Here is a 12,029-nt window from a genome sequence, read left to right as displayed (position 1 = left end):
CTTGAACAGTCATAAAGATGCCATGATTCCTCAGGGAGATGAACAGATTGAGCTTCTATCTAACATTCAACTTGCCTAGGGCTTCTCCTGAGAGCAATGCGAGAAGAGGGAAAGTGCTGGGGACAGGGGTATCACAATGGCAGATAATAGCAGCTGTCTCTTGGCAGTAGAGTTAAGCACAAGTTGAGGCTGCAAAATACTTTGAACTTCAAAGAAAAGAGAACAAGTGTGAGGCAGAGTAGAAAAAAAAACATGCTTGAAAATAAATCAGAGAAATCATGTTCTAGCGCCTACACTGCCACTACGTTACATGAGCTGGGTGTGCAACTATCCTCTCAAGAGTCTCAGTTTCCCAATCTGGGGAGTGAGGAGCATGGGCACCACAGGATGCCAATCGGGCTTTGATATTTTCCACAGATCTGCACTTCACTTTCTAGATCTGTTGTCCTTGCTCCCCGAGAGAGAACGCAGCAGGCCAGCCAGTAATGTGCTGTGAGGCCTGGTGCACGGTGATTTACTGTGAGGATGTGTGGATACCCAATGGTACCTTTGAAACAAGCTCGCAATCCACAATCTTGAGTGTCATCATTATTGGTCTCATGGGAGAAGTCTGTTTCTTCCCTGCCCTTCGAATCTCAGCACAAGGTGAAAGGCTCCAGGTACTCTCCCTGGGCTCTGCAAGATCTACATCTCAGAATACAGGGACACATCTATTTCAAGGCGGCCTTCAGGCAAAGGAGAAATGGCCAGCCCTAGATACAGGGTCAGTGGGATACTGTTCACAAATCTGTTTTGAAATCCTACTATGTGAACCTACTGTGTGCTCTTCGCCTCTCTGAATCTATTCTCCATCTAGTCTCCCTTTGCCTGGAATGCCTTCTACCCTTTCTTTAGCCCCTAAAATGTCTTTTGTCATTCAGGTTCCCCTACAGATAGCATCTTCCCTGTGAAGTCTTCCTTGATATAACCAACAAACTAACTACCCCTCCCTGTTCTCTGCTCCAGGACATGCCAATACCTACACTTCATAGCCATTTTCACCTGCCCTCTTTTATAATTAATGACCTGTGCATCTCTCCCTCATCTAATGATTGCAAGCTCATTGAGCTGAAGGAAGATAGTGTCTCTGTCATTGATTTCAACTAACATCTTGCATCCTCACTGCCCTCCATGTATGTTTTATCAAGCAGAGGAAGACGAAGTAAGAAAATCTGAATGGCATGTTTGCTAATCCAGTGGCTGCTGCCAGCTAGTTTTTTTTTTTTTAGAAGATTTTTGCTACAGTACACTACAAACTCTCTTTCTCACATCCTATGGCTTCAAATACCAATTCTAGGCTAATTCTCTCAAATTTGAATTTTTACCCCTGACTGGTACACTGAGCTACAGAATCCTCTATCCCCTTAGGTGTCTAATACCTAATTCAAATGCAATATATCCAGAAAGTAAGAGGAGTGACAGGCTCAGAGAGAAGTATCCTGGCAAAGCAGTGGGGGCTTCTCAGCCCAGATCATAGCTGGTGACAAAGGCCAGGTTGGAAATAAAAACTGCTGGGGCCTCTTGCCTCCTTCCCTGGTCAGCCAGATCCCAAGTTTGGGCATAGGAACTTCCTTCTTAGACAAGGAAAACATAAGAACTTAATTGATCCATAATCTTTATGTGAAACAGGAAAAACAAATTCCTTACATAATTGGTATATAAATCATTTCAGATATGAGTAATGATGCTGGGGCAGGCCATTTATTTTGAGTATTAGAGACTTTTAAACCCCAGTTTAATTGTATTTAGAATCGTCTCTGAAATTACATGCACTACTCTGGAAAGAAATCAGTTCCTGGGCACCAGAGGTATTCAATCTAAGACAGGCTGGCCACACGGCAGGGATGTTAAACATAGGATTAAGTCATGAGACCAAGGTTAGACTGGATGTGCTCAAAGGACCATTCAGTGGTTTGATTTCAGCTTACCAATAACAATAATAAATGATGATAAAGATGCTAATGATGCTGATGACGAAGATTCTGCAGTTGTTCCTCTGCTGTAGCTGAAGATAACTGCAACGATGGCTAACATTTATTGAGCTCTATCCATGCTCAATTATAGGCATTTTTAAATACTTTACATCCATTATCTCAATCCTCAAAACAAGCCTAAAAAAATGAGTATTATTACCTTTATTTAGCAAATGAGGAAATGGAGGTATAGAGAACTTCAAAAACTTATCCAATTTCACATAGCTAGTTAGGAAGCAGCAGGACATATATTTCAGTACAGCTCCATATGACATACTCTTAACCATAACCCCATGTGATCAGTTTTATGGAGACAACTGCAGAATATATGTTCTTCTTTGGGTCCTGGGATGGAGTTAAGAAAAATATAATGCTAGCACACATCATGAACACAGGATATGATGACTACTCATGCATAAATGCATATAGGAATGACATTTATTTGGGGGTGAATTAGAACATCCAACCATAATTCAGAAGATGTGAATTTTGGTGTGAGATCAGTCACTGCCTTGTTGTGTGACCCAACTGTATTGTTATCCCTTCTCTGTACAACTTCAATATAAAATGAAATGGGAAACCAGATGATCTCTAAAGTCAGTTCTGTAAGTGTTTAGGTATTTGTGGAATCTCAATCTCATCTATTCATCTATCTGTCTACCTGTCCATCTATATCTAGAAGTAAATGGCAGGTAAAGTATCACCCTATGTGGATTTAAGCAAAATGTAAATTCAAAAGCCCCCAAGTGCTCCTTCAAACCAATAGGGATTTCAAGTTGTGGGTCAAATAAGGAAATGCAAGGCATCTCCAAATATTATAAATAGGCCAGAAACTGAAGAAAGCATCTATTTTTCCTCTGAGAGTCCCCAGGAGTAAAAGAGAAAGTTTGGCTCCTAAAATTTCTTGTCCATTATTGAATGCAACATCTACCCTGTTTCCTAGTCAGAACTAGAGGTCTTGTACCTATACACTAAGAGTAAAAGGTGTTCAGGGTATTGCTACAATCTTCTGCAGATAAATATTAATAATCACATTTCATTCTCTTCCTCAGGCCTTGTAAGAGAACACTGCCTCCTTGAAGACTGCCATAAGCCATGAGGAATGTCTTCTAAATCAGAATCATGTCCACACAACAAAGTTTTATTAATAGAAAAAAAAATCTTTCAAAAAACAAATCAATAGCTGGTTTGCCGATTAACTGCCTAGAATCCCTGATTTCCCACATGAGTTCATATTATGAATCCACCAGAGAATCCTTTCAATACAACTTTGGTCATTGGGAGGCACGGAAACAGCATTGCCCAGGTCCTGCCACCTTCTGGCCATGTGACCCTGGGTGAGTCCCTCCACCTGTCCTAACTTACTGTGCCTCTTCAGGGGAATTTCACTGGTCATGGAAATGGACCAGTTTACAGCGAATCCACTTAAGACAAATCCTAAAATTGCACACTAAACAGAAGATGTTCAACTGGGACTCCAACTTAAAAATAAAACCAAAATCTTTTAAAATAAGTTATTTCTGTATTATTTTAGGGTATTTTAAGTCTATGCTAATTCTACAAAGCAACAAGCAATAATTGAAGTATGGTCAGTATTTTTGGCATACATTTTCCTAAAAAAAAAAAAAGCAAGATTTTTCTTTTTTTTCATATTTGACTTTCACAGATGGTCAATAACAGGGTCATCTTTTAAAAAATATTTAAGAGTAATAAAAATTTCTCTAAAGTCCTCTCATAATCCTTCGGGTAAACATTTACCTTGAAAGAGCTTATTGTGTTTAATCCTCAGTGCTTCTCTCTTCTTCAATTGTTAACTGAATATTCAGACAGATCCTTATTTGCTTATAATTCAAGTATGTTTTTAACACAGCTTTCAACAACTTCATGAAATCATCATCTTTACTATAATTGGTAATTTTACTTCAAAACTACAGAATTTGATTTATTTGATTTATTTTTGTTTGTATCATTTGATTTATTTGTAAAATTTATTTTTGTTTGTATCATTTGATGTTTATAATATCTATTAATTATCATAGACCAACAAAAATATTGATATGATAGATGGGAAAACAAGAGGGTAAGAATTCTTGAGTGGGGATAATTTTAAAGTGGCCAATTCACTAATGAATATTTTCTTGTAAAGACAATTTTTGCTCCTCTCTGCAACCTCAAAATTACACGGCCTTGGATAACCTCCCATCCTCACCCGATCTCTCCCCCTTTAGGTCTTTCCACAAATTTCACCTCAACAAAGCCTTTTGTGAAATTCTTATATAAAACTGCAATTCAATTCTAACCCCATGTACACTCACTCCATTTATCCTTTTTCTGCTGATTTCTTTCCAGCACTTACCAATACCAAACATACAGGCATACCCCACATATATTGTGGGCTTGGTTCCAAACCACCATAATGAAGCAAATAGCAAAATAAAGTCAGTCACGTGATTTGTTTCCAGGGGATACAGAAGTTATGTTTACATTAAACCATAGTCTATTAAGTGTGCAATAGAATTATGCTTAAAAATCAATGTACATATCTTAATTTAAAGATACCTTATGGCTAAACATACTAACAATTATCTAAGCCTTCAGTGAGTTCTAATCTTTTTGCTGGTGAGGGCCTTGCTTCAACGTTGACAGCTGCTGACTGATCAGGGTGGTGGTTATTGAAAGGTAGGGTGACACAGCAATTTTTAAAAATAAGACAACAATAAAGTTTCCCTCATTGACAGACTCTTCCTTTCATGAAAGATTTCTCTACAGCACCTGACACTGTTTGATAGCATTTTATCCACAGTAGAACTTCTTTTAAAATTGGAGTCACTCTTCTCAAACTCTGCCACTGTTTTATCAACTAAGTTAATGTAATATCCTAAATCATTTGTTGTCATTTAAACAATGTTCATAGCATGTTCACCAGGCATAGATTTCATCTCAACAAACCACTGTCTTTGCTCATCCATAAAAAGCAACTCCTCATCCATTGAAGTTTTATCATGAGATAGCAGCAATTCAGTCACATCTTCAGGCTCCACTTACAATTTTAGTTCTCTTGCTATTTCCACCTCATCTTCAGTGACTTCCTCCACAGAAGCCTTGAACCCCTCAAGGTCATCCATGAGGGCTGGAATCAACTTCTTCCAAACTGCTGTTAATGTGGATATTTTGACCTTTTTTCATGAATCATGAATCTTCTTAATGGAGTCTAGAATAGTGAATCCTTTCCAGAAGGGTTTCAATTTACTTTTCCCAGATCCCTCAGAGGAATCACTACCCATGGCAGCTATATCCTTATGAATCCAATTCTTATATAATAAAACATGAAAGTCAAAACTACACTTTGACCTACGGGTTGCAGAATGTATGTTGTCTTAGCAGCCATGAAAATAACATTAATCTCCTTGTACATCTCCAGTGGAGCTCTTGAATAACCAGGTGTATTGTCAATGAGCAGTAATATTTTGAAAGGCATCTTTTTTTTCTGAGCGGTAGATCTCAACAGTGGACTTAAACTACTCAGTAAACCATGCTATAAACATATGCTGTCATCCGTGCTTTGCTATTACATTTCTAGAGCACAGGCAGAGCAGATTCAGCATAATTCTTAAAGGTCCTAGGATTTTCAGAATGGTGAATGAGCATTGGCTTCAACTTCAAGTCACCAGCTGCATTAGCCCCTAACAAGAGAGTCAGTCTGTCCTTTGAAACTTTGAAGCCAGGCATTGACTTCTCCTCTCTAACTATGAAAATCCTAGATGGCATCTTCTTCCAATAGAAGGCTGTTTTGTCTCTATTGAAAATCTATTATTTTATGTAGCCACCTTCATGATGTTACCTCGATCTTCTGGACAAGTTGCTGCAGCTTCTGCATCAGCACTTGCTGCTTCCCTTTGCACTTTTATGTTATGAAGATTGCTTCTTCACACCTCATAAACCAACCTCTGCCAGCTTCCAACTTTTCTTCTATAGCTTCCTCATCTCTTTCACACTTCAAGAATTGAAAAGAGTTAGGGCCTTGCTCTGAATTTGACTTTGGCTTAAGGGAATGCTGTGACTGGCTTGATCTTCTACCCAGACCACTCACACTTTCTTCATGTTTTCAATAAGGTTGTTTCACTCTCTTATCATTTGCATGCTCACTAGAATAACATTTTTAACTGCCTTCAAGAGCTTTTCCTTTGCATTCACAACTTGGCTGTTTGGCAAAAGTGGCCTAGCTTTCAGCCTGTCTTGGCTTTGGACATGTCTTCCTCACTAAACTTAATCATATCTAGCTTTTGATAAAAAGTGAGAGATGTGCAAATTTTCCTTTTACTTGAACACTTAGAGGCCACTGTAGGGCTATAAATCAGCCTAATTTCAATATTGTTGTGTCTCAGAGAATAGGGGGGCCTGAGGAGAGGGACAGAGATGAGGGAACGGCATGCTGATGGAGCAGTCTGAGCACGCATGACATTTAGTGATTAAGTTCATTGTCATTCATGGGCACAGTTCATGGTGCTCCCAATTATAATAGTAACATCAAAGATCCAATGTCACAGATTACTATAACAGATGTAATGATAATGAAAAACTTAGAAATATTGCAAGAATTACCAAAATATAACAGAGATTCAAGTGAGCACATGCTGTTAGAAAAATGGTGCCACTAGACTTGTTCCATGCAGGGTTGCCCAAACCTTCAACTTCTTAAAACACACACACACACACACACACACACACACACATATACACACTATGCAGCCATAAAAGAGAATGAGTTCATGCCTTTGCAGGGACATGGATGAAGCTAGAAACCATCATCCTCAGCAAACTAACATAGGAACAGGAAACCAAACACTGCATGTTCTCACTCATAAGTGGGAGTTGAACAATGAGAACACAGGGACACAGGGAGGGGAACATCACACACTGGGGCCTGTTGGGGTGGTGGGGGTGGGGGGCAAGAGGAGGGAGAGCATTAGGACAAATTCCTAATGCATACAGGGCTTAAAACATAGATGATGGGTTGATAGGTCCAGCAAACCACCATGGCAAATGTATACCTATGTAACAAACCTTCATATTCTGCACATGTATCCCAGAACTTAAAGTAAAATTAAAAAAAAACATACAAATGCAATATCTACAAAGAGCAATAACATAAAGCACAATAAGGTAAAGTATGTCTGTACTTTGTATGTCATTTTATTCTCCTTCTTCCTCTGCCCCACTAGGATGAAAATTCCATGAGAGTTTTGTTTGTTTCATCCTCTACTTATCACCATTACCTACAACTATGGTTGGCTAGGACTGTGTGTGTGTGTGTAGGGACTTAAAAATATGTGTTGAATGAGTGAATATTCAAATGAGAACACCCTCCAAATATCCCAAGGGTTAGAGAATGTTGCTGATAAGACTAGGGTTATCGGTTTTATGCTTCAGACTAGGAGAGACAAATAGATTTCATCATGGCTTTTTTAGTGGCTGCCTGGAGCCCTGCGTGAAAGGAGTGATATGATCATAAAAATGAGTGACATGATCGATTAGCAATGTCTGCCCTTGGGCATCAGAAACGCCCACTGGGATAATGGCATTATGCCAACTATTCGTCACTCCTGCCCCTAAATTGTTACATAATTACCCCCTAACTTTTCACTGGTGTCTACCTTTATACACACACACACACACACACACACACACACCACTAAACAAAAGTCTAGCATGGTTCACTCTGTTTTAACAGATAGTGGACATTTTTGAGATATCAGCTAAAATATTTCTACTTTACTCCATTTTAGCTGCCAGCTAATTGCTAAATGCCAACATGTTGCAAGTAGTTGTCAAATAATCCAGCATCCTTGGGAATCAGAATTCTAGGTTGAAAGAATCTTTAGAAATAATCTGCTCCAAACTAATCATCTTACAAATGGAGAAACCAAGACTTAAAAGATTAAGCATTTGTTCTCAAATCACACAGCTAAAATCATACAAATAAGGACTTCATATCCTTAGCATTTCCAAACAAAAGACAAACCAGAGACTTAAGGTAATTAAAGTTTAGAAAAAAGGAAAAAGGGAAGAAATGAAATATCTGAGCAGACACTACACAGGACATGCACACATTCTGTGTTACCTATCTGGGTAAAGTCAACAACCCTGACTTCCCATTCCAAAAGGCCTCAGTGTCTCAGGTCATCCTCTGAGTCCAGTCCTCCCTGTGTTTGTTACCTTTTGTCAGAATAAGAACATGTTGCTAATGTTAATTGATCACAAGTCCTCAGATAGATAATTTACGAGATGGCTTCACTTAAAACTGAATTATATTTCCCTGGCCTGGGGGTGGCCTTTCTCTCAGACAACCAGTTTTATTCCCTCTGGCTCTCTCAGAAAGATGTTTCTTGCCACCAACACAGTCAGATGGCATCTGAGAGAGCATTTTCAACTGACAAGTCCCTATTCTCCCAAAAATGTTTCCTGGAAAATTCCAACAAAGCTTTCCTATACAAATGCTACTACTTAATCAAAATTGTAAAAGCCAGCCAGCAGTTTCCTTGAGCCTTCCTTATGCTGGCTAGGCTATGCTGTATTGCACCAACACTGTCTTCTGTACACCCATGGAACTTGGTAATTTGGAGGGCAGCAGAGGGCAAGGGAAACTCAGCAATGAGATCATTCCTACATTTGCCTCACTCCCCGCTTCCCTTCAAGCCTTACCTATGGAGGGTCTCCAGCTCAGCCAGGCTAGGAGAGAGATATCTCTATTAGAAAACTCATCCTGGAGGCTGCCAAGCTCTGTGTAAACAGGAAAGATTGCTCGGCAATTGAAGAGGTCACCCAAGAGTCTGAGATAAATAAACAAATCCTGAGGTTTCAGTGACCCACAAAGTCCTAAAAAAAATACAGTTTACATAGGAGAGGGAAAAAAAGATATTTTCCATTCAAAACAGCTGATGGGTGTTTTTTTTTCCTCCTTTCAAATGGACAAAATAATACCTTAAGGAGGAGCAGAAAATGGGGCTATTTTTTCATTCCCTAAGGAGAAATTCTTGGGAGAACTAAGAGCCAAGGAGAAGGATTAGCTGGAATCGAAGCTCTACTGCAGTGAGATCCGTGCCAAGCAAGGAGGAAGCACGGCCAAGTCTATTTTCAGCTGCACTTATGCTCCTCAGTGATGATGCCCGGCTGACATGCCCGGCTGTGTGCTTCGTGAGGGCAAGAACTGTGCCTTGGTCAGCACTGTAGCCCCAGCCACTCCAGATGGCCTGGCCCATCATGAGTGCTCAGTAACTGCTTGGTGAACAAGGTCATCAATCTTATCCCTATTTCCTACCCTTGCCTCAACCCTACTAGGTTTCTGCCCCTGGGCTGTGATGCTCATGCTGGACCCTACCACAAGTAACACTGCTCTGTGGTCTTCAGTTTCCCCATATATTCATCGAACTTTTATTAAGGGTTCTATGCCAAAACAGTGATAGGAGCTGCTTCTAATAGTTCATCATTTAATCTTCACAATATAATTGTGAGCTAGGTACTAGTATTTTTATCGCCTATTTTACAGATGACGAAACAGATTCAGAGATGTTAAGGAACTTGCCCAAGATCACAACACACCTTAAACTCAAAGCCAGGCCTAACTCTAAAGCCTATGCATTTAATCCCTAACCCTTTAGCCTCATTGGTGATTCGTACAGTAAAAATTGTCACTAAGATAGTGCCTCTCAAACCATTGTTCACACAAATAGTCTTGTTAAAATGCAGATTCTGATTCAGAAGGTCTGCGAACTGCACTTTGGGTATCCACCTTGTTTAAGGAAACTTTTATTTCTGATGTCATCCATTTCTACTATACAATAATTATATTTTGGCCTAAAAATGTGTTATTTCATTGTGCATTGATGGCTAGTGATATATTTAACTAGGGCTTCCTGGTATAACGTGAAGTCTCAGGGTCTCTGCATGGGAACCTGGAGGGAACATTGAAGGTTGGGTGGAAGCAATGTGAGATGGCCTTATTTGCATTTTAGAAGTTCTCTCTGGCTGAAGTCTGGTGGGTGGTTTGGGGAAGGATGAGACTGAAAGTGGAAGACCAACAACAAGGCTATTGCAGTTGTCCAGGCAAGAGACAACGGTAGCTTGGAGAAGCTCACCCTGCCTGGCCTTGGTCCACTTTTGTGCTGCTCTAACAGAATACCACACTCTCAGTAATTTAAAATGAGCAGAAATTGATTGGCACAGAGTTCGGGAAGCTGAAAAAGTCCAAGATCAAGGAACCACATCTGGCAACGGCCTTCTTGCTGTGTCATGCTCTGACAGAAGGGCAAAGAGAGGGTGAGAGAGAGCAAGAAGAGGCTGAACTTCCAGCCTCAAGCCCTTTTATAATGGGAATTAATCAATTCTTAAGGGCAGAGCCCTTGTGACCTAAACACCTCCCATTAGGCCCCACCTCCCAACACTGTTACTTTGAAGATTAAGTTTTCTATACATGCATTTTAGGGGACACATTCAAACCATAGCTGTCTCCTTGGTTCTAATTTTAATTCTGCCACTAATGTGCAATAATTAGAATCAAAGGATCTTGAGGGAATTAAGGCAAACACTTAATCTAATCATGTAATTTTATAGAGAGAAGCTGTAAGACAGAAATTCCCAAATTCATGTAATTTATCTATTGTAGCACTTTTCAAAGTATTTTCTACAGGATGCTAACAGGTATTAGGTACAAAAATTAAAATTAGGAAGAATTTCAGTAGTCAAATATGTTGAAGAGATACTTGATTAAACAGAGTTAAGCAGGTTTATTTACTACAGGACTTATCAGAGCATTTAATAAGCTCAGAGCCTTTAATGTTCTTTGTAAGTTTCCCAGAGTGAGATAAAGTAAACCTATTTTACAAATGCCCAGGGATTTTTTTTAGGATTTATGTTTCATGAAAAATGCTTTGGGAAGCTGGTGTCTGGTGTTCTTTCTTTGGAACACACTGTGTCTTGTTACTTGAGTGGATTAAATACATCTCCCTGATGCAGGCATACTCTACCTTCCACTTGTCCCAGAACTCTCTGTACATCCCTCACATATGCCTACATAACTCTTTTTCCTTTAATTTTTCTTCTATAACTTCTTGTAGTTCAGGAAGTATGAATTAACTTGATTGGTAGGTACTGTGTGATCCCCTAGTGGAGAAAATTATGTTCAAATCAAGCAAGGCAGTGTCATAAGATTGAGTGCAAACCCTGGCTTTGCTAATATATTTTTTATATAACCACAAAAAATATAACCCAACTGGGGCTTTATTTTTTTTCTTATTTTTCAAATGATGCAACACAACCAAACTATCTCTCCCTCTAGCTCTATTCCTATAGAGTCAATGCTGTGGTTAAGGCTTTCTGACCTCTCTCAGCAAGATCAGAAACTACTTGACAGACCAGACCAGTAACTTAATTGAACTCAAACATTCCTGTTGTATGTCCATGCCCTCCCCTTGGGGCCTCCATTTACTGTCCCTGAAAGGGATGCCACTGCCGTATCTAGTCACCTTTCCTCCATCAAATTATACCATTCAGTGTCTCCTTATATCCAGAGACACCAAGTTAGAAGGGGCCTTCCTGAGGGTTCATCACTGTCTTTTTACAGATGAGGTGACTGACTGGTCCACAACCCTACAAAATGTGAGTGGCCCAGCAATGGTCTCCTGATTCCTTGTCCTGTGCTCTCTCCTGGGCACCGTGACCTTTTGAATATGCTAAACAACTCTCTCCCAGCTGCCTTGATCATCACAAAGCTGCCACCCTTCAGAGACCAACATAAATTCCTATCAGGTCCACACTCTGTCATGATTTGTCTCAGAGCTGACTGCCCAGGCTGCCACAGCCAATCCACACCACTTTGGTCATGAGGAACAGCCTCAGGGAAAATCGTTGCCTCATTCAGCCTTGTCCCAGCTGCAAGCAAAACCTGCCAGACCTTATTCTACTCCTCTCTTCCTGCCCCCTTCCTTCTCCTGGCCCATTGTCTTTCAGGCAGGTTTCCCA

At 39.9% G+C, this 12,029-nt stretch overlaps 1 long non-coding RNA gene across 1 annotated transcript in view; it reads left to right on the top strand.

Annotated features, from left to right (window-relative positions):
• LOC105378236 (uncharacterized) overlaps nt 1-3,128 on the top strand; it is a 34,936-nt gene extending 31,808 nt beyond the window's left edge. Inside the window, exon 4 of the long non-coding RNA XR_944432.3 lies at nt 3,065-3,128. This is a non-coding gene — a long non-coding RNA (uncharacterized LOC105378236). The remainder of the gene's footprint in view (nt 1-3,064) is intronic.
• The last annotated feature ends 8,901 nt before the right edge of the window (nt 3,129-12,029 follow it).

Source organism: Homo sapiens, chromosome 5 (assembly GCF_000001405.40).
Source record: "Homo sapiens chromosome 5, GRCh38.p14 Primary Assembly".
Classification (NCBI taxonomy): Eukaryota; Metazoa; Chordata; class Mammalia; order Primates; family Hominidae; genus Homo; species Homo sapiens.
The sequence above is the reverse complement of the archived record's forward strand: the minus strand, read 5'-3'. Positions and strand labels throughout refer to the sequence as shown.